This window comes from Homo sapiens, chromosome 11 (genome assembly GCF_000001405.40).
Source record: "Homo sapiens chromosome 11, GRCh38.p14 Primary Assembly".
NCBI lineage: Eukaryota > Metazoa > Chordata > Mammalia > Primates > Hominidae > Homo > Homo sapiens.
Window position 1 is genome coordinate 1,599,414 of NC_000011.10, and position 23,388 is coordinate 1,622,801.

The 23,388-nt window shown below is 46.8% G+C and overlaps 2 protein-coding genes across 2 annotated transcripts, besides 1 other annotated feature; both read right to left on the reverse strand.

The window, feature by feature from the left end:
• Window positions 1–8,151: 8,151 nt before the first annotated feature.
• KRTAP5-3 (keratin associated protein 5-3) lies at window positions 8,152–9,050 on the reverse strand. Its single transcript, NM_001012708.2, has one exon. The coding sequence runs from the start codon at window positions 8,970–8,972 to the stop codon at window positions 8,256–8,258; it is 717 nt and encodes a 238-aa protein (NP_001012726.1). The 5' UTR covers window positions 8,973–9,050; the 3' UTR covers window positions 8,152–8,255.
• Window positions 19,769–20,968: an enhancer, noted in NCBI's record as "BRD4-independent group 4 enhancer chr11:1640412-1641611 (GRCh37/hg19 assembly coordinates)". NCBI's record gives its function as "activates an origin of replication core promoter dependent on BRD2, P300/CBP, MED14 and CDK7 cofactors, and independent of BRD4, by STARR-seq in HCT116 cells {active_cell/tissue: HCT116}" and the evidence as "EXISTENCE:reporter gene assay evidence [ECO:0000049][PMID:35650434]".
• Window positions 21,545–22,725, reverse strand: KRTAP5-4 (keratin associated protein 5-4). Its single transcript, NM_001347674.1, has one exon. It carries the CDS (start codon window positions 22,678–22,680, stop codon window positions 21,994–21,996), a length of 687 nt encoding a protein of 228 aa, NP_001334603.1. The 5' UTR covers window positions 22,681–22,725; the 3' UTR covers window positions 21,545–21,993.
• Window positions 22,726–23,388: the final 663 nt, after the last annotated feature.

Genomic DNA, 23,388 nt, shown 5'->3' on the forward strand with positions numbered 1-23,388 from the left:
ACATGCATCCATATGTTAATTGCAGTGCTATTCACAAAAGCAAAGATGTGGAATCAACCCAGGTGCCCATCAATGGTGGATTGGATAAAGAAAATGTGGTACATATACACCATGGAATACTACACAGCTGCAAAAAAGAACGAAGTCATATCTTTTGCAGCAGTATGGATGAAGCTGGAGGCCGTTATCCTAAGGGAACTAATGCAGAAGCAGAAAACCAAATACCACATATTCTCACTTATAAGTGAGAGCTAAACTTTGAGTCCACATGGACATAAAGATGAAAACCATAGACACTGGGGAACAAGAGGAGGGAGGAAGGGAGGGAGGGGGCAAAGGCTGAATACTGGGGAACAAGAGGAGAGAGCAAGGGGGCAAGGACTGAAAAACTACTGGGTACCACAGTCACTATTTTGGTGATGGATTCATTCATACTCCAAACCTCAGCATCACACAATATACCCATGTGAAAAACCTGCACATGTACTGCCTGATTCTAAAATAAAAGTTGAAGAAAAAGTTCTTTATATACTCTAGATACTAGATGCTTATCAGATATCTGATTTGTAAATCTTTTCTTCCTTTATTATGTAGACTGTTCTTTCACTTTGTTGATAGCGTCCTTTGGTGCAAAAATATTTAACTTTTGATGGCATCCAATGTATTTGTATTTCTCTTTTGTTGCTGGTGCTTTTGGTGTCCTATCTATGAATCCACACCGAATCCAAGGTCATGTTTTCTTTTAATAGTTTTATAGATTTGACTCTTAAATGTAGGCCTTTTGACCCATTTTAAATTAATTAGTGTATGTGGTGTGAAGTAGGGGTCCAGCTCATTCCTGTGCATGTGGATGTCTAGTTTCCCAGCATCATTTGTTGAAGTACTGCTCTTCCTCCATTGAATGATCTGGCACCCTGTCAAAAATCAGTTGGTCATCTACATGAGGGTTTATTTCTGGCTCTCAATTCTATTCCACTGGTTTATACATTTATTCTAACAACAGTGCTAAACTGCCCTGATGACTGCAGCTTTGTAGTAAGTTTTCAAATTGGCAAGTGTGAGCCCTCCAACATTGTTCTTCTTTTTAACCTTGTTTTAGCTATTCCGGGTCCCTTGAGATTCCACATGAACTTTAAAATCAGCCTGTGAATTTCTACAAAGAAGCCAGCTGCTTTCCTGATAGAGATTGCATAGACTCTGTAGATCAATTTTGGGGGTATTGCCATCTGAAAAATGTTAAGTCTCCTGATACATGAACATCAGTCTGCTTTTGGGCTGCCATAACAAAATACCACGGATTTGGTGGCCCAACAACAGGCATTTATTTTCTCACAATTCAGAAGTCCAAGATCGGGTGCAAGCAACTTTTGTTTCTGGTGAGGGCTCTCTCCTTTGGTTGCAGATGGCCGCTTTCCCACTCTTTGCTCACATGGCCTTTCCTTTGTGTGTGGAGAGAGAAAGAGTTGGAGGGAGGAAGAGAGAGAGAGAGAGAGAGAGAGAAAGAGAGAGCGAGACAGAGGCAAATGCTCCCTGGTGTCTCTTCTTATGAAGATGCAAATCCTGTGGAAGCCCTTATGACCTTACGTAACCTTAATTTCTTCCTTGGAGAACTCGTCTCCATATACAACCACAATGGGAGTGATGGATTCAACATATGAATTTGAAAGAACATGAATATTCAGTCCACAACAAATCTGGGATGTTTTAGATCTTCTTTAGTTTCTTTCAACAGTGTTTTGTCACTTTCAGAGTTGCAAGTGAGTAGAAATACAATTGATTTTTATATATTGGTCCTGTATTCTGAAAACTTGCTGGATTCATTTATTAGTTCTATAATCTATAAAACACTGGCCGAGCACGATGGCTCATGCCTATAATCCCAGCAATTTGGGAGCCCAAGGCAGGTGGATCACATGAGGCCAAGAGTTCAAGACCAGCCAGGCCAACATGGTGAAACCTCATCTCTACTAAAAATATAAAAACTAGCTGGGCACGGTGGTGCATGCCTGTAATCACAGCTACTTGGGAGGCTGAGGTGGAAGAATTGCTTGAACCAAGGAGGCAGAGGTTGTAGTAAGCTGACATTGTGCCACTGCACTCCAACAACCGAGCGAGACCCTGTCTCAAAAAAAAAATCTATAAAACATTAGTAGCTCTTACAAATTGACAAGTAGAATACAAACAACCAAGTTTTTAAAAAGATGATTCTCTGATAAACAAATGGAAGTGTGCAATTAAAAATATAAAAAGTAAATCAGACTCACTGGTAGTCAGATACACGGGATCTTTTCTGTGGAGTCCTAATGATGGAAAAGGAGCCAGGTTGGTTGGACCAAGGGAAAGCAAAAAGAGAAGGCAGATGAACTACAAGTCTGCCTTTCTTCCTGGTGCAGGACTTAGCCCTCCTATGCAAATAACTCACATAACTCACAATCTTCCTGCACTCAACTTATGACCTCAGTTGATAGAAAAATGCAAATTAGCTCACTGAAACCTTGGCATTATCAGCACTGCATGTAACCCTCTCCGGCACAAGCACCATCCTATAAAATCCCCAGCAAGCCTTTGTCTCCTGGCAGCCAGCTCCTCCCTTGCTGACCTGCCCTTTCCATTCTTGCAACGTATTTTCCTACATTCTCTAATAAATCTGCCTTTCCTTACCTACAACTGTCTTGGTAAATTCCTTTTCTGCCCACGCTAGTGGACTCAGTTAGTGGCTACCTGCAACATTTTATATCTACTAGACTGACCAAAATTAACAAGAATAATAACACCTATTGCTAGTGAAATTGGGGGAAAAGGTACTCATACATTGTTCTGGGGATACAATTTATTACAGTTTTTTTGAAAACAATATCTAATAAAATTAGGTCATATCAATACAATTAGTCTTGAAATTACTGAAAAAAGATTAAACGTAAACATATTCGTGTATACATATATGTGTATGATCTATTATTTACAGTGTCAGAAAAAGAATCCTAGCAAATTGAAAATTAATACTAAAAGTCATACCCACTAAAAAATAAGATTACACCTGTACCAGTGGACTTGGAGAAATTTCCTCAAGGCTCTGGCTAGTGTGAAATGTAGATGCAGAGAAATGAGCCCTGTAGGATCCTATTTTAGTAGCAAGCAATAAAAATATCTTTTACACATATGTTGAGTGTGTGCCTGGGGTACGTAGGACAGTGGCTGGGTGGAGTGGGGAAGGTGTGTAGGAATCAACAAAAAGCAAATGACAGTGAAAAGTGAGTCCAGTATGTGTGATCCTACTTGTGGAAAAACTCCACATATATGAATACGCATGCGCGTAAAGAAACATAGACTTATACCCAGATCTACTTCCTAGGAGAGGCAACCATGATACAAGTTCTAGTGAAAAGAATTAAGTTGCAAAGAAATGTGGATAATAAAATCCGAATTGGTAGCAATACCCAATTGTGTATGCGCATCTATTTTTTATACATTGTATGTGCAAGTAGGAGGGTTGGGTGGGGGTGCCTGTGGGGCCTGGCACTGGGGGTGGCTTTTATTGTTTTTTAATTGTGTATATTTAAGACATACAATTCGATGATCTCATATATGTCTACATTGTGAAATAATCACCACAGTCAAGATAATTAAGACATCTGCCACTTCACATAGCTCTCTCTCTCTCTCTCTCTTTTCTTGGTGGTGAGAACATGTAGGATCTACCCTCTCAGTACGTTTTAAGTACATAATAAACACCGTGTTGTTACCTGTGGTCACTTTGCTATGCATTGGGTCTCCAAGCCTTATTTATCTTGAAGAACTGAAGCTTTGGACCCCTGGGCCAGCACCTCCTCATTTCCCCTTTCCCTGCCTCTGGTTCCCATGCTTGCACTCTGTGCTTCTGTGAGTTTCACTCCTGTAGACTCCATGTGTGAGGGAGAGCGTGTGATGTCTGTCTTTCTGTGTCTGCCTCTTTTCACCCTGTGTAATGTCCTCCAGATTTGTACATGTTGTTGTAAGTAACCAGATCTCCTTCTTTTGAAAGCTGAAGAATATTCCATATATACACGTATAGATGTATGCATATATTCCACATTTTGAAAAAGTCAAATACATAGAAACATAGAATAGAACAGTAGTTACCAGGGTCTGGAGGAAGAAGGAAAGGGGGAGGAGGAGGTCAAGGGCTTGCGGTTGTGTAGGAGAGGGAGCCGAGCAGTCCAGTGCACAGTGCAAGGACTACAGGTGACAGTCAGGTGTTGTGTGTGGCAGGTGTGCTGAGAGAAGACTCCAGGTGCTCCTACCACACACACATACACACACACTAACATCGTACACACATACTTACCCTCATACACACACATACACACACACACTCACCCTCATACACATACATACATACACACAGTCTCACACACAATTAAAAACACACCTTACACACACTCATACACACATAATCATACAAACACACACACTCATACACATGCATACACACTCATACACACACTTATCCAAACACACCCATGCACACACACTTATACACACACATACAAAAAGGAACCATGGAAGGTGTTGGAGATATTAATTGCAGCCATCATTTCAGTAGTGTACATGTTTACCACAGCACCATGTTGTCCACCATGAATATGTACAATAAAAATAAATGTAAAAAAAGATGTGTCTTGGGAGAGTCCTTCATAATAACACCTGAGAGGTGTCACCTTTCTTGACTTTTTCTGACCATGAAATGCACCTGCCAAGGATGGCAGACGTAGGGAACTGACCTCCTGGGCCCTCACGTGCCCAATTATCTTTGGCCCTCCGGACTGGAGCAGTTTGTAGACCTTGGAAGCAGGGCCCCAGCACTGACTGCTTGGCCTCAGGCCTCTGCCCCATCGGTGGTCAGGTGGCGGCCACGAGGGCGTGGGAGCTTGGCCATCCCTGCCTCCTGGAGTGGACGAGGTTGGCGGCTGGTCAGCCTGCTCCTGCCCCACCCTTGCCTCATGGACCCTGGTAGCATCACTGGCTCAGCCTTGCTGGGCATGCACAGGCAGCAGCACCCGCTCTGATCCAGGAGGCTTGCCCTGCTTTTGGCTAAGTTCTGGGTCCGGCCACTGCCACAGAAGGCTCAGTCCCCTGTGTGATCCTCCTGGCTGCTGCTGGGTGCCCATGGCGCCCCTGATGCCCTTCCCTTGACAGGGCTTGGGTTAGCATCAGGCCAGGACCCTCTGGGACTGGGACTTGTGCCCTGTCTGGGGTCCCTGTCCCACAGGTTGGGCCAGAGGCCACAGGGCATGCTGCTGGCTGGCCATGGCTGCAGGAACGTGACACTCACCCTTCCCTCTGGCAGCCTCCAAGTGATGAGTTTTCCAGTGGATATTAATTTCCTGAGGCCAGGAGCCATCTGGGGCTACAGGGCAGCCTGCCGTGTGCCATCCTGGCCCCTTCCACACCATGCTGGCCACTGCCTGTCATGGGGGTCGGAAGCAGGCGATCCCGTGCAGGAGGTGTCTCTGGACCTGCCTCTTCTCTTGCTCATCACAAGGCCAGGCCAAGCCTGGTGTCAGGACCCTGGTGGGGTTGCAGGGCCAGGCCTGTCCCCTGTGCCTGGGGTGTCCAGGGCACACATAGAGGAAATAGGGGCCCTGCATCCCGGCTCCTCAATGTACTGTAGAAATCATGGGCCCTCAACATTCAGGTCCGTGGGAGGCATCCACAGAGACTTCCAATGAAGGAACTGTTAGACAACTCCTGGTCTCTCCTGAGCTGGGGACAGGCCAGCCACACCCTGAGCCCCTGGGGACCCCCAGAGAGTGGCCTACTGTCTTGGGCTCTGAGGAAGTGCTCTCATTGTAGAGCACGGGGGATGTTGTGGCCCACTCCTCTCAATTTTGCTGTGAACCTAAAACTGCTCTGAAAAAAAAGTCCATTAAAGGAACTAGCATGGGCTGATGGGGAGGGGCTCATTCACCCCTGAGTTGGACACCGTGTGGCTACGAATCCACCCTCAGACCACAGAGTGGATTTCGGCAGCAACACCACACCCTAGCCTCATCCTGAGCTCAAATTTAACTCAGATAGACCAGGCCCTTTTTCTATCGTTCTTAGCCACCATTAAACCAGGTCACTCGTTCTGTGTTTTTGCAATTGGCTTTTAAACAAAAGAGCTGGGTTTGGTGTATGTTTCCTTGTCAAATATTTTTTTCCAATAACACAGGTGGAAGAAAACAGACAGGGCCTCTTTCTGGTCCAGCCATGGGGTGGAGGCCGTTTTTGACTTTCACCTTCCTCTGTGGGTCCAGCTCTCTCTTGCTTGTTGGCTCTGAGGATTATTTAGTTTTTCAACAGCTCAGTGACTTAAAAAAAATATATATGCTTTAAACATAGCACTTTAAAGCTTTATTTATTTACTTACTTATGTATTTATTTATTTATTTATTTAGAGAAAGAGTCTAGCTCTGTCGCCCAGGCTGGAATGCAGTGGTGCGATCTAGGCTCGCTGCAACCTCCGCCTCCTGGGTTCAAGCAATTCTCTTTCGTCAGCCTCCCAAGTAGCTGGGATACAGGCGCCCACCACCATGCCTGGCTAATTTTTGTATTTTTAGTGGAGACGGGGTTTCACCATGTCCTTTTAGAAGTTTCAGGGTTGTGAATAGTGTCTAGTCAACCTTACTACCGAAACAGAAACTCAGAAGCAATTTCTGAAACTTCCGTGTTGTTGAGTTTTCACTTTCTTGTCGCAGTTCCGCCAGGCACTCACTGCCTACCATCCTGTGAGACGGTGGCTTCCCGAGCAGCCTCCAGCGCTCTGCTGTTACAGACGCCTGGGTCTGGGGGCTCCAGCCTTGCAGCCCACCTCCTCCTCCGCCAGCTCCTGCCTTCCCTCCCCATGAGTCGAACATGCTGGACTTTGGTCTAGGCCCTCCAGCCTCCGGAACTGGGAGAAATGGTGTCTGTTGTTCCGTCTTCCAGGCTTACTCTGTGGGTTTTGTTCTGGCAGCCCCAGCTGACAGAGGCAGCAGGGAAGGGACAGGTGGGCACCTGAATCAGAAGTCTGTGTAGGGAGGTGTCACAAGGAGGCAGGAAATAGATGTCTGTAGGAAGCCTTCCAGGAGATGCTGAGGGATTTGGCGACTTGTGGGGGAGAGAAGCCCAAGGGGCCTCCCAATTCTGTATCCTGGAAGATGGGAAAGACGGAGACGCCCCAAGCCAAGTGGATGCCACGGCTGAGTTGTGCCCCCTGGTTCATATGTTGGAGTCCTCAACGCAGTATCTCAGAATGGCACCTTATTTGAAGATAGGTCTTTACAGGGGTGATTAGTTCAAACATGGACCTAATGGAGTAGGGTGGGCCCTAGTCTAATCTGTGTCCTTATGCAAAGAGATGAGGACGCAGACACACACAGAGGGATGAGTACGTGAGGATATAGGGATGGCGGCATCAGTAAGCCACGGAGGGAGGCCTCAGGAGGACCCGGCCCTGAGGCACCTCGATGGCGGATTCCGGACTCCAGACTGTGAGACAATCCACTCCTGTTGCTTAAGCCACACGGTTTGTGGAGCAGCCCTAGCAAACTCACACAGCAGGGTACGGGGGGTTCCCAAATGCCTGGGAGTGCAACTCTGTGGAAAGTGTACATTTCTCTAATCACACAGAAGTTGAAACAAAAGAATCACAATGCAAACTCGTGGGAGGTGCAGATCGTATTTATTTAGAAGATCTAGCCTAGGCACTTACAAGGCGAAGCCCTGGGGAAAGAAACAGGGCCAGGTCGGAGGTAGAAGAGGAGACTGGGCGCCCCTCCTCCTCAGGAGAGGATCCTGGGGTCTCCAATAATTCCGAGTCCTCTAGGTCAACTCCAAAAGCAATCGGAGCGGTGGCAGCTCAGGCAGGATGAAGACGAAGCGGGGAGGAGCCAGGAGGTTGCGGGGACCGGGGAGAGGCGGCAGCAGGTCGGAGGATTCCAGTGTCAGCGTGTTTCCAGCAGGCTCACAGGAGGGGCCCAGGGATGTGGGATCTTGAAGCCCTGAGAAGGTTGAAGTGGTGGGGTCAGGAAAGGAAGACGGGATTCCGGGAGGGTTGATGGGCAGGACCCAGCATGCCAGAAGCCCTCATGACCTCAGAGGCTGAGCGGCTGAGTACTGAGCCCTGGACGCTAGGCTGCCTTAGTCCAGAGGAGGACAGATTCAGAGACGTGCTTCAGGAATTCAGGACACAGCTGCAATCATTCCTGGAGAGCCCGGATCTGTAGGACCCACTGAGGTTTGTGGGCAGAGCCTCAGATCTTGCACTGGCAGCAAATTGGGACACAGCAGCTGGACTGGGAGGAGCAGGGCTTGCAGCAGCTGGACTGGCAGCAGGATGACCCACAGCCTGAGGAGCAGCAGCAGGGCTTACAGCAGCTGGACTGGGAACAGCAGGGTTTGCAGCAGCTGGACTGGCAGCAGGATGACCCACAGCCTGAGGAGCAGCAGCAGGGCTTACAGCAGCTGGACTGGGAACAGCAGGGCTTACAGCAGCTGGACTGGGAGCAGCTGGGCTTGCAGCAGCTGGACTGGCAGCAGGATGACCCACAGCCTGAGGAGCAGCAGCAGGGCTTATAGCAGCTGCACTGGGAGCAGCCACAAGAACCGCAGCCCCCCTTGGAGCCCCCACGAAATCCACAGACCCCCTTGGAACCCCCACAGGAGCCACAGCTGGAGGAGCAGCAGACGGGCACACAGCAGCTGGAGCCACAGCCCCCCTTGGAGCCTCCACAGGAGCCACAGCCCCCCTTGCAGCCCCCACAAGAGCCACAGACCCCCTTGGAGCCCCCACAGGAGCCACAGCTGGAGCAGGAACAGGCTGGCACACAGCAGCACACGGGCTTGCAGCAGCAGACAGGTACACAGCAGCCGGAGCCACAGCCCCCATAGCCGGAGCCACAGCCCCCACAGCTGGAGCCACAGCCCCCACAGCTGGAGCCACAGCCTCCAGAGCAGCCAGAGCAGCCCATGGTTCTGGTGGGTTGAGGGTGGAGCAGGTAGAGGAGCAGGTGAGAGGGAGGTGTGCAGGTGTGGAGTTCTCTGAGCCCGGGCTCTTTATATTCCTGCCCAGGTGTTTATACTGAACACGTGAATACTTCTGTTGTTGTTTCTGCTATTTCACATGCACAAGTGTTATTTTTAATCTCTCCACAATCCCATGAGCCACCATCAGCTCAAGCCAAGCTGTCCTTTCCTTGGTTTCTAAATTTGGCCTCTTCCTCATAGGTGTTTCCCTTTGTTAGAAGACACTGGGCTCCCTCTCCAGTGGGTGTCCCAGGAGCCTGGGAGGCGGTGGTTGCTTGGCCGAAGGGTGGACCATTGTCCTTGGTGCTCAGGGCTCTCCTCAGCGATGCAGACCCTCCACCCCCTGGCATTGGTGTTTATATCAAGGATGGTCATTTGGTAAAAAATAAAATAAAATAAAAATTAAAAAAATAAGCTGAAAGAAAGGCTGTCTATAGGTTCCACCGCTTAAAAACTTCAAGTATAAATATTTTGTCAAATCTGTAAAACAAAGTTTTGAAGAGCATGGATTTGAGTGTGGCCCTGGTTCTCCTTTGTCTTTCTTACCTCTTCCTCCTGCGGTTTGGCTCACTCCTCCAGACACGGATTAGACCCACGTTCCCTTCAGGCAAGCTGGGCTCACAGAGGGAACAGAGGAACAGGACCCTTTCTAATGCTTTTGAGTTTTCCTCTATTAATTCTTTGTAAAAATTCTACAAATCAATGGATATTCTTCAAGTTTATTCTTCTTGAAGGCTACAAAAATTTTGATTAGCCAACCTCTCTAACACACTTTTATTTTCTAAAAGATTAATTTTAATATTTTTTTTTTGAGAAGGAGTATCGCTCTTGTCACCAGGGCTAAAGTGCAGTGACGCAATCTCGGCTCACTGCAATCTCTGCCTCCTGGGTTCAAGCAATTTTCCTGCCTCAGCCTCCCCAGTAGCTGGAATTACAGGCGCCCACCACCAGGCCTGGCTAATTTTTTTGTATTTTTAGTGAAGACAGAGTTTCACCATGTTGGGCAGGCTGGTTTCGAACTCCTGACCTCAGGTGAACCACCCGCCTCAGTCTCCCAAAGTGCTGGGATTACAGGTGTGAGCCACTGCACCCAGCCAAATTTTAATTTTTTATTAAGGTAAAATTTACATGCAGTGAAAAAAAATTTTTTTTCTGAGTCTCCCTCTGTCACCCAGGCTGGAGTGCAGTGATGCAATTTCAGCTCACTACAACCTCTGCCTCCCGAGTTCAAGCAATTCTCCTGCCTCAGCCTCCCAAGTAGCTGGGATTACAGGCACCCACCACCACACCCAGCTAATTTTGTATTTTTAGTAGAGACGGGGTTTCACTATGTTCGCCAGGCTGGTCTCGAACCCCTGACCTCAGGTGATCCACCTGCCTTGGCCTCCCAAAGTGTTGGGATTACAGGCATGAGCCACCAGGCTTGGGCTGCATTTTTTTTTTTTTTTTTTTGAGACGGGGTCGCATTCTGTCGCCCGGGCTGGAGGGCAGTGGTGTGATCCTAGCTCACTGCAGCCTTGGTCTCCTGGGCTCTGCACATATTTTGAGTGTACAATTCCATGAGTTCCGCTAAACATGTACTCGTGTGCCCATCACTCCAACCATGACCAACTGCTTCACCCCCAGAAGTTTCCCTTTCGCCGCCTTCCCTTCCTGCCCATCGCTCCAGGCACAGCTCTGCTGACCAGTTGTGCCTGTTGTTGAATGTTGCAAAAATGAAATCATTAAAAATGTACTCTGGTTTCTTTCCCTCACGATGTTATTCTGTGTGTCAATGATTTGCTCTTCTTCTTTTTTTTTTTTTTTTTTTTTTTTTGAGACAGGGTCTTGCTCTGTCACCCAGGCTGGAGTGCAGAGTGGTGCGCTCATGGCTCACTGCAGCCTCGACCTCCTGGGCTCAAGCGATCCACCTGCCCCAGCCTCCCAATGTGCTGGGATTACAGGCATGAGCCACCACGCCTGGCCTTCTTCTTCTTTTGTAATCACCGCATAGTGTTTCTGTAGCAGGGCGAGCCGCAGACAAGAACCCCTCAGACACTGAATTGTAGAAGGAAAGGGCTTTATTCAGCTGGGAGCATTGGCAGACTCAGGTCTCCAAAAACCAAGCTCCCCAAGTGAGCAATTCCTGTCCCTTTTAAGGGCTTACAACTCTAAGGGGGTCTGTGTGAGAGGGTCGTGATCGATTGAGCAAGCAGGGGGTACGTGACTGGGGGCTGCATGCACCGGCAATCAGAACGGAACAGGACAGGACAGGGATTTTCACAATGCTTTTCCATACAATGTCTGGAATCTATAGATAATATAACCGATTAGGTCAGGGGTCAATCTTTAACTACCAGGCCCAGGGTGTGGCACCGGGCTGTCTGCCTGTGGATTTAGTTTTTACTTCTTTTTTCTTTGGAGACAGAAATTGGGCATAAGAAAATATGAGGGGTGGGGCCCCCCTTATTCCATGTAAAAATATTCTCCACTGCGTTCCCCCGTTCTCACGTTCATACATATTTGAATCGTTCACAGTTTGGGGCGATGATGAATAACACATAATCATGCCTTCCAGTCCTTCCGTATTCATGTTTTTAGTTTTAATTTTTTGGTCAAATATTGAGGACTGGCCTTGCTAGACCATAGAGTAGTGTATGCTTAACTTGCTAAGAAACAGACAGCTTTCCAAATGCTCATGCTGCTTTCCCCCTCCCCAGCAATGCCTGAGAGTGTCCGCTGCCCCAGGCCTGTCAGTACCAGCCAGCGGCTTTTCAAATGTGAGGCATCGGATGGGTGTAAAATCGCATCTCGTGTGCATTTTGACCTGTGTTTCTCTGATGACTAATGTTCGCAAGGATTCTTTCTTGCACTTATTGGACATTTGCACATCTTTCTTGTTAAAAAGTTTTGCTAAAATTGTTTGCCCATTTTATTGTGATTTTTTTTTGTCTTTTTGTTATTGAGTTGTTGGAACTCTTCATAAATTCTATATCAAGAATGAATATGTGAAGTGCTTTGCCATATGTACGTATATATATTTACATATATATTTCATATACATGTGTATATGTGTGTATATAATATATATATGTAGAATATATATATTGTATATAATTTTCTAGTATTTGACTTGCCTTATTGTTATCTGAACTTTTTATATGGAAATGTTTTTGATTTTGAAGTCCACGTTAACATTTGTTTTGACAGCTAGTGCTTTCTTGTGACCTCTTTGAAAACCCTTTTTCCTAGCATTTCCTTTAGAAGCATTAGAGTTTTAGTTTCTATATTTAGTTCTATGATGGATCTCAAGCTAATTTTTGCGTGTAATGTGAGGTAGGAGTTGAGATCCATTTTTTCACATTTTCATCCAATTGTTTCAGCAGCATTTGATAAAAAGACCTTCCTGGCCAGGCGCAGTGGCTCACGCCTGGAATCCCAGCACTTTGGGAGGCCAAGGAGGGCAGATCACCTGAGGTCAGGAGTGCAAGACCAGCCTGGCCAACATGGCAAAACCCTGTCTCTACCAAAAATACAAAAATTAGCCAGACATGGTGGGGGGCGCCTGTAATCCCAGCTACTCAGGGGACTGAGGCAGGAGAATCGCTTTAACCCGGGAGGTAGAGGCTGCGGTGAGCCGAGACTGCAGCACTGCGCTCCAGCCTGGGTGACAGAGTGAGACTCTGTCTCGATATAAACAAACAAACAAACAAACAAACCGTGCTTATCCCACTGAAATCACTGGTGTTTTTAATGAGAATCAGCCGACACGATGGCGAGTTTCTTCCTGTGTCCCGCTCCGCAGGTCTGTATGCCGCTTCCTAATGCAAACACAGCGTCACTGTGACATTATGGGAGGTTTTGAAGTTAAGTATTGTGAGACTCCAACTTCATTCTTCTTTTTAAAGATTGTTTTGTTTGTTTCCAATTCCTTTACTTCTCCAGCTAAATTTTAGAACCAACTTGATCATCTCAAATACCAAAAAACCCGTTGCTGTTGCAATAGACAGCTGAGGCACGGGAAAGACCCTGGAGAGAGCCCCTGTGCCATGTGGGCAATTGGAGAAGGCTGAAGGCTGAAGCTGGAGTTCTAAGACTGGGAAATGCCTGCTCACTCCAGCCCCCACCCCCATCACCAGACTATGGAGCCCGTGGGAACAAAGGTAACTGCACCCACCAAGTCTTTGTCTTTCCTCTTTTCTTTTCTTTCTTTCTTTTTTTTTTTTTTTTGAGACGGAGTCTCGCTCTGTCACCCAGGCTGGATGCAGTGGCCCGATCTCGGCTCACTGCAAGCTCCGCCTCCCGGGTTCACGCCATTCTCCTGCCTCAGCCTCTCTGAGTAGCTGGGACTATAGGCGCCCGCCACCACGCCCTGCTAATTTTTTTTTTTTTTTTTTTGTATTTTTAGTAGAGACGGGGTTTCACCGTGGTCTCGATCTCCTGACCTCGTGATCTGCCCGCCTCGGCCTCCCAAAGTGCTGGGATTACAAGTGTGAGCCACTGCGCCCGACCTGTCTTTCCTCTTTTATAAAATGCCTGCTGATGTCTATGAGTTGGTTCCTCTGTTTAGTTGTTTTCTTTGCTTGCTAATTGGTGTGAGCTCTTTGGGTTTTCAAATGCTGAGCCACGGTCAGCTTTATTTTATTTTATTTTATTTTATTTTATTTTATTATTATTATACTTTAAGTTTTAGGGTACATGTGCACAACGGGCAGGTTTGTTACATATGTATCCATGTGCCATGTTGGTGTGCTGCTCCCATTACTCGTCATTTACTCAGCAAACTATCGTGTGGTCAGCTTTTATGTTGCAAGATCCTCCTTGGTTCATCTTTTCATTCTCGCGAGGCCTTCCCTTGTTAAATGAGAATCCTTGAGTGTTTAATTTTAACTTATCAATTCACCCACCTCTTCCTTTAGAATTAGAGTATTTGGGGCCTTATTTAGGAAATACTTCTCTGAGATCATGATATATTTTTCTGTAAAAGTTGAAAACTTTTGTCATCTGTTTTAAAATCTTGAATCAGGTATATGTGATGGTTAATTTTATGTGTCAATTTGGCTGGATCCCAGGGTGCCCGGATATTTGGCTGAATGTTATTTCTTGGTGGTCGGTGAGGGCAGTTTCTGGATGAGACCAGCATTGGGATCAGTGGACTCAGGAAAGCAGACGCCCTCCCCAATGTGGGTGGCTTCCTCTGATCCACTGAGGGCCCGAATAGATCAAAACGTGGAGGAAGTCCCTTTCTGCCTGACCGCTCCAGCTGGCACATCGGTCTCCTGCCCTCGGACTTACACTCACACCGTCAGCTCCCTGGTTCTCGGGCCTTTGGACTTGAACAGAATGACCCCGCCGGCTTTCCTAGGTCTTCAGCTTACAGACAGCAGATCATGGAGCTGCTCAGCCTCCAGAATCGCATGGGCCAATTCTTCATAATCATCTGTGTATCTGTGTATCTCTCTCTGTGTGTATGTATGTATGTATGTATCTATCTATCTATCTATCTATGTAACTATGTAGCTATGTATCTATTTATCTATGCATGTATCTATCATCTATGTATCTATATATGTATCTATCCATCTATGTATCTATCTTTGTATCTATGTATCCATGTATCTATCTGTGTATCTATGTAAGTATGTATCTATCTATGTAGCTATCTAACTATGTATCTGTCTATGTAGCTATCTATCTACCTATCATCTATTTATTTATGTATGTATCTACCTATGTATGTATCTATGTGTCTATGTATCTATCTATCATCTATGTATCTCTATATATATCCATCTATGTATCTATATGTCTATTATCTATCTTTGTATCTATCTATCCATTTATGTATCTATTATCTATGTATGTATGCATCTATCTATCTATCTAATCTACCTATGTACCTAATCTCCCACTGGTTCTGTGTCTCTGGAGAACCCTGATTAATGCAGTATAGATTTTTGTGTATTCGTGTGGAAACTGCCTTTCTCGGCATGTTTTCTTTTCCAGCCCCTCGGTCACCCAGTGTCAGTCAGGATGGCCTGGGTTGTGCTGCAGCAACAAACCACACCAAGATCTCAGTAGCTGAGTCAACCCACACCTCCCACCACCACAAGACACCTGGGGCTCTGCCTCTTATTCCATAACCCAGGCAGCCAGTTGCTGTGACAGAGGAAAAGAAAAATATACTATTCATAATAGAATTCAGCAGTATATTAAAAAGAATTTTGGCTTACAGGCATGGTGGCTCATGCCTGTAATCTCAACACTGTAAGAGGCCAAGGCGGGAGGATCACTTGAGTCCAGGATTTTGAGACCAGTCTAGGCAACTTAGGGAGACCCCATCTCTACAAAAAAAAAAAAAAAAAAGGCATACTGATGTGCACCTGTGGTCCCAGCTACTTGGGAGGCTGAGTTGGGAGGATCACTTGAGCCTGGAAGATCAAGGGGACGGTGAGCCATTATTGCACCACTGCACTCCAGCCTGGGCAACAAAGTGAGAACCTGTCTAAAAATAATAGTAAATAAATAATAAATAAAATAACTTTGCACCCTAACCAAAATATTTACAAACCACATATCTGACAAAGGACTGGAATATACAAATCTAGACCATGTAAAGAACTCTCAAAACACAACAGCAAATCATACATAAACACAAAAACAATCCGATCCAAAAATGGGCAAAAGACTTGAAGAGACAATTCTCTGAAGAGGACGTACAGTGGCAAATAAGGATGTGAGAGGAAGTTTGACATCCTCAGACTTTAGGAAAGACAAACTAACCAGTAATGCGATATCATGATGCCCCTATGAGAATGGCTTAACAAAAAAATAGCAGCGACACCAAATGCTGGCAAAAGGCAGAGAAGCTGGGCCACTCGTATGTTGATGGTGGGAATGCAAAATGGTACAGCCACTCTGGAAGATAGGTTGGCAGCTTATGAAAAAAACTAACCACACAACCGCCATTCAACACAGCAATCTCACTCCTGGGCATTTATCCCAGAGACATGTGCACACGGAAAACCTGTCCACAAATGTTAATAGGAGGCTTATTCATGATCACCAAATGCTGGAGACACCCACATGTCCCTTGATGGGTGAAGGGGAAACACACTGGTTCACCTCTGCCAGGGGACACGTCTCAGCCATGAAATGGCAGGAATGACAGACGCTCGATGACCCAGATGAATCTCCAGAGAATCATGCTGGGTAGGAAAAGCCAGTCTTAAAAGGTTACACACTGTGTGTTTCCATTCATGGAGCATTCTCGAAATGACAAAATTACAGAAATGGAGAACAGGAGGGAAATGTGGGGGCTGCATCAGGGCAACGCGTGGGGTCCTTGCTAGAGAAATGATCTGTATTGTGACCGTGCCAAGGTCAATATCACTGTGTTGTTATGTTACCTGCATTCCAGATGCTGTCACCGGGGACATGGGAAAGGGTACATGAGATCCCCTTTGTGTCTTCTTACGAGTAACTTCTTACGAGTAACTTCTTATGAGTAACTGCAGGTGAATCTACAATCACCCGAATATAAAAAGTTAAATTGAAAAAAGAGTGCATACCTCACAGATACTCAGGGAGTCATGTTTATAAAGTGTGTGGGAGAGTAGCTGGAATGCACGAGGTGCTGTCAATATCGGGTGGTGGCAGTGAAGGCGGTCATTGGATAAATCACCAATTAGGCAATTGGCGAATCAGATTCCAAATACTTTTCCAAGGTAGAACCTTGGAGATTTGCTGTTGGATTGGATGTGGAGGGTGGAAGAGGAGTCAAGAGGATGCCCAGGCTTCTATCCTGAGCCCTGGGAAGGATGGAGCTGCTGTGAACTACAATGGGGAAGGCTGGGAAGGCGTTGGTTCCAGGGGAAGGAGGAGGAGTTCAGTCTGGGATGTGCTTAGTTTGAAAGGCCAGATGTCCATGAGAAGCAGGCACCTGGGCCTGTGAGTGTGGAACCTAGAGGGGAAGGTGTTGTGAGAGACATGGAGGAGGTCGCAGGTGAGATAGAGACCCCCCGGCTGAACCTGGCACCGCCCAGTGCTCAGGGCCTGGAGGAGGAGAATTAAGCAATGGAGACTGAGGTGGAGTGGCTGGTGGCACAGAAAGGAAGCCAGGGCTCTGCACTGGGCTGGCTCTGTCCCTACATAGATAGATAGATAGATAGATAGATAGGTACATAGATACATAGATACACACATGGATACATACATGGATACATAGATACGTAGCTAGCTAGCTAGATACAGACATACATACATACACACATACATACATAGATGGATACATAGATACATAGATAGATACATACATACATAGATGGATACATAGATAGGTACTTACATACATACATAGATGGATATAGAGATACGTAGATGATCGATAGATACGTAAATAGATACATAGATACATACGTACATGCATACATAGATGGATACATAGATACATAGATAGGTACTTACATACTTACATAGATGGATACAGAGATACCTAGATGATCGATAGATACATAGATAAATAGATACATAGATAGATACATAGATGATTCTGAAGAATTGGACCCTGCAATTATGGAAGTTGAGCAACTCCACAATCTGCTGTCTGTAAGCTGAAGGTGTCCCCTGCTTGTTTCCAGACTGAGTCTGGTTCCCCGATCACTCTGACCAGAGATTCATGCTAAGATGCTCCCTCGGTGACCACTCCACAACCAGCCAACATCTCTAGGCTCCATACAGGGTCTCCCTGTGCTCATTGTAAATCATCAGGCCTTCAAAATATTCACTAGTGGCAGTGGTGCATGCCTGTAGTACCAGCTACTCGAGAGACTGAGGCAGGAGGATCCCTTGAGCCCAGGAGTTCGAGACCAGCCTGGGCAACACAGTGAGACTCTATCTCTATTAAAAACAAGAAGAGGAAGGTAAAAAAGAAAATAATCACAAACAAGTAAACAAGCTGACAATGTCATTTATTTATTTATTTTTTATTTATTTGAGACAGGGTCTCACTCTGTCACCCAGGCTGGAGTGTAGCAGTGCAATCATAACTCACTGTAGCCTCAACCTCCCAGGCTCAAGAGATTCTTCCACCTTAGCCTCCCCATTAGCTGGGACTGCAGGTGTGCACCACCATGCCCAGCTAATTCTTTCATTTTTCTGCAGAGACGGGGTCTTGCTATGTCACCCAGGTTGGTCTTGAACTCCTGAGCTAAAGTGTTCCTTCTTCCTTAACCTCCCAAAGTACTGGGATTACAGGAGTGAGCCAAGCCCAAGCTGACTACTTCTTTTTTTTTTGAGACAGAGTCTTGCTCTGTCACCCAGGCTGGAGTGCAGTGGCACCATCTCGGCTCACTGCAAGCTCCGCCTCCTGGGTTAACACCATTCTCCTGCCTCAGCCTCCCGAGTAGCTGGGACTACAGGCGCCCACCACCACATCTGGCTAATTTTTTCTTTTTTTGTATTTTTAGCACAGATGGGGCCAAGCTGACCACTTCCAAAAGTGTTCTCCACTCAAGCAGCTCGTTTACTTAACAATATCACTTATTCCCACACACCCCCTCCCAAATGTCTTTCATGTCTTTGCAGAACCAGCTCTCTTAAATACATTTTCCACAGTCATATTTACGATGCAGATTTTAAGTAAAATTGCAATGCTTGCAAGAAAAGAAACGTAGGATTCTGTGATGTCACTGAAAGTGACATTGGAGAACATCTGCTGGGAGCCAGGCAAGGCCACCACGGTGAAGATCAGGCGGTTCACCCTGAAAGAGAAGCTGGTCAAGGAGGCAAGATAGAGGCTTCCCAATGGGGTGAGTTGACCTCAAAGAGAGGCGTCCGTGAAGGATGAGAAGGAGCTCAGTTGTTTTTGCTACGCGACTCCCTTCAGCGTCATTCTGTCACGGCCAACTGTGAAATGAAGGATGTTGCAGCAGGCAATCCTATGATTTTATCAAAAAATTATGCATAAAATGTCCAACACGTGATTTTCTCTTTGTTGATTTCATGGAGAGTTACAACTATGTCTTAAATCTTGCTAACAATCATGTGACATCTGTTCATTATTAAGGAAGGTTTTGGGTTTCTTTCTCTTTCTCTTCTACCCCCACACCACAAGCACAGACAGCATTGGTTCTGTTGGGCCTGTTTCCAACGAATGGCTGGCGGCAGGCTCTTCTCTGGTGCCCATTACCGTGGTAGTGAGGCCATCTTTGATCTGCAGGTCACTGGGTCCTGCCTGGGCCAAACACCTCCCCCTCTTCCCTGCAGAAACCTCTTCATCACACAGCAGGACATGAATTTACCCACAGGAGCCACAGGCCAAGCAAAGAGAACGCCAAGTGAGCCATGGGGGGAGAAGTTTCCGGCGTCTTCTTCCGGACCCACTGACCCCACAGCAGCCCCTCCTGCCCCACTGGCCAGGCTGGAGGCAGCTACCAACTCCCTACCTCAGTGTGGTCTGTTCTCATGGAACCTCATCAAAGTGTACCCTTAAAAAGGGTTCCTTTTAGCCGAGCACGGTGGCTCATGCCTGTAATCCCAGGACTTTGGGAGGCTGAGGCAGGCGGATCATGAGGTCAGAAGATCGAGACCATCCTGGCTAACACGGTGAAACCTCATCTCTACTAAAAATACAGAAAAAAAAAATTAGCCAGTCGTGGTGGTGGGCGCCTGTAGTCCCAGCTACTTGGGAGGCTGAGGTAGGAGAATGGTGTGAACCTGGGAGGCAGAGCTTGCAGTGAGCCGAGATCGTGCCACTACACTCCAGCCTGGGCAACAGAGTGAGACTCCGTCTCAAATAAAAAAAAGAAAAAAAAAAAATTCCTTTCATTTGAGCTTCAATTGTTCTTTGCTGCTCAAAAGCCTTCTAAGTCTTACCATTTACCAGGCAGAACTGAGAACTCTGTAGCTCCCCAGGTTTCTCCAGGCTTTCTAGAACTTTCCTCCTGGCTGGCAAATCAGCCGGTTCTTTCGAGCTCACCCTGTTCTTGTAATGCTTTGATAAATGCAGCCACAACGACCCACGTGGGAGTGGCATTGTGTTTTCTGAACTCTTCCCTCAGGGATACACGATCTGGGACAGTCTTACCAAACACATAATAACTACCTTTCTCACCTCTAATAACTTTCCTTTCCACCCACCCTCTGACCAATAAACCAGGCCCACAATGCTATGTTTTTGTTCTGGTAGGTTTCTGGGTCAACCAGGATAGACCAATTACGCTGCTCACACGCGCCACCCCCACGTTTCAGTGACTTCACACGACACAGGCTTACTTCCTGTTCATATCCCAGGCCACTGCACGTCAGCTGGTGACTCTGCTCTGTGCTTCGTCACTCTGGGACTCAGTCGGAAGCAGCAGCCACTGCTTGGAATGTTGGTGGTCATGGTAGGAGAAGAAACGGAGAATGCAGAAGACTGCAGCAGGTGCTTCAAACTTCTTCCCACTGACGCAAGCAAATCACATGGCCACACCTGACTTAGAGAGGGCTCATGGAAGGGCCACCCTACCACCTGCCATCCAACCTGTTCCCAGAAGGAGAGGAGAACCAGGATGCCTACAAATAGCCCTAATTACCACCCCATTCTGGGCTCTGTGTGGCAATGCTGCCAGTCCTATAGATAGGTTTTTGCCTAAATGAGCTTAAGCTTTTTTTTTTTTTTTACTCCAACATATGCATTTAAGGCTATAAATTTTTCTCTAAGCACTGATTTGGCTGCATGCAGTAAATTTGATAGCCCCATTATTTCATTAGGGGTTACAAAATGGTTAGCTTCTAATTCTACGATTTCTTCTTTATTTATAAACTGGAATACTTCCTCTAATTTTTTGGTTACCGTAAGATAGAGTTTCTCTATCAGAGATAGAATAAGTGCCTGATTATTTTCCTTTATATAGTCATCTTCGAAATAATGACTTGATTCCTAGAATCCTCTAAAGGCAACTAAATTTTACAGTTTGCATAGTATCTCTATTATTATTTGTGTATGTATGTGTGTGCGTATGATTACTCACTCCTAGTTTAAACATATTTGATGTGTATCAGTCCAGTTAAGAAATTGGTGTTCAGATTGTTTCAAGTCTGTCTATACAGAGTTTCTCCAGGTTTGACTCTTACCTTTTTTTTTTTCTTTTTTTGAGACGGACGAGAGGCAGCGGAGACAGCCAGCCCCATCCTAGCACCTTCCAGCAACATCACCATCAGACTCACGGAGTCCGAAATATAACAAGAATAAGAAAACAATAGCCATAGCCATAGTAATGACACCGAACAACAGAGAAATCAGCAAGATATGTGTTTCAGTTTGTCGGCATGGTATTTTTATTAGTTTGCAACTTTCTGTTTAAGATAAAGCAGTGTGATCCTGGTTAACATGGTGAAACCCTGTCTCTACTAATAATAATAAAAAAAAAATTAGCCGGGCGTGGTGGCGGGCACCTGTAGTCCCAGCTACTGGGGAGGCTGAGGCAGGAGAATGGAGTGAACCCGGGAGGCGGAGCTTGCAGTGAGCCGAGATGGTGCCACTGCACTCCAGCCTGGGTGACAGTGCGAGACTCCATCTCAAAAAAAAAAAAAAAAAAAAAAAGATACAGCAGAGTGTTGGACATGCAAAGCCACTCCAAGGAAGCCTCTTAAACGCCCACCTTGTTGCAGGTGGGACGCTTATGCCCAGCTGCTCCAGCTGGAAAAGACAGGACTGCAAGTGGGTTCAGGAGCTCAGGCCTCTGAAAAGATGAGCAAAGGCGAGGCTAGTGGGTGAGGGGTGATTCAGCTGCAATTGCAGTTGACTTGGGGAGAGAATTTGTTAGGAGAGACAATGGACATTAATTAGGGTGGACTCTTCTTAGGAAAAGGCAGCCAGATATGGCATCGTTCTACAGCAGGGAATGGACCCTGAGCAATGATTTGGGGCTCAACAATGAAGGACAGGTCACAGCTTTGGAAGACAGGATTAGCAGGACTCACATGAGGCCTGAGTCCAGAGCCTCAGATCTTACACTGGCAGCACACAGGGACACAGCAACTAGACTGGGAGCAGCAGGGATTGCAGCAACTGGACTGGCAGCAGGATGACCCACAACCTGAGGAGGAGCAGCAGGGCTTACAGCAGCTGGACTGGCAGCAGTAGGGCTTGCAGCAGCTGGACTGGCAGCAGGATGACCCACAACCTGAGGAGGAGCAGCAGGGCTTACAGCAGCTGGACTGGCAGCAGGATGACCCACAGCCTGAAGAGAAGCAGCAGGGCTTACAGCAGCTGCACTGGGAGCAGCCACAAGAGCCACAGCCTCCTTTGGAGCCCCCACAGGAGCCACAGCCCCCCTTGGAACCCCCACAGGAGCCACAGCCCCCCTTGGAGCCCCCACAGGAGCCACAGCCCCCCTTGGAACCCCCACAGGAGACACAGCCCCCCTTGGAACCCCCACAAGAGCCATAGCCCCCCTTGGAGCCCCCACAGGAGCCACAGCTGGAGCAGGAACAGGCTGGCACACAGCAGCACACAGGTTTGCAGCAGCAGATGGGCACACAGCAGCTGGAGCCACAGCCCCCACAGCCGGAGCCACAGCCCCCACAGCCGGAGCCACAGCCCCCACAGCCAGAGCCACAGCCCCCACAGCCGGAGCCACAGCCCCCACAGCCGGAGCCACAGCCTCCAGAGCAGCCACAGCAGCCCATGGTTCTGGTGGATTGAGGGTGGAGCAGGTAGAGGAGCAGATGAGATGGAGGTGCAGGTGTGGAGCCCCCTGAGCCTGGACCCCCTTATATCCCTGGGTAGGGTTGCTCTGAGACCTTGGTCACTCCATCATTCCCAGCACTTCCTGGGTATGTGATTATTTGTTTGCTGGACTTCGGGTTCTCATTGGCCTGATCCAACACCCACCTGCTTATGTTTCTAAATGTAGTCACTTCCTCCTTGGAACTGGACCTTGTACTGAACTGATCACCTGCCTTCTGTTTTCCTCATGTGATGGGCAGAGGATGGGTTTTCTACAAAGATCATTTTGGTTGTTTTCTTCCCATCTTTTCTTCCCACCTATGGCATTATATTTTTCTTTGAAACTGTGAACTTTGTGTGAAGATAATTTTTTAAAAACTAAGCTTTCATCCATATAATTAAAGAGGCTAATTGAGGAACCAACGTTGTATCTTGGTTCTGTCTTAACACATTGGTGCACTGCAGTGAATCTCTCCTCCGCCAGCCTCAGGTCGTGGGGTGCTCAGGACTCCTGGCTGCTGCATACACAGCCTCACGTGGTGAGTATTGTTTATGTTAAAAATCTCAGGAATTTCATGGGTGGATGGGGGATCTCATTTATCATCCTGTTGTTAATCTCTTCAATTAACTATTAGTGAGGGTGATTCTTTTACTCCAATATAAATTAT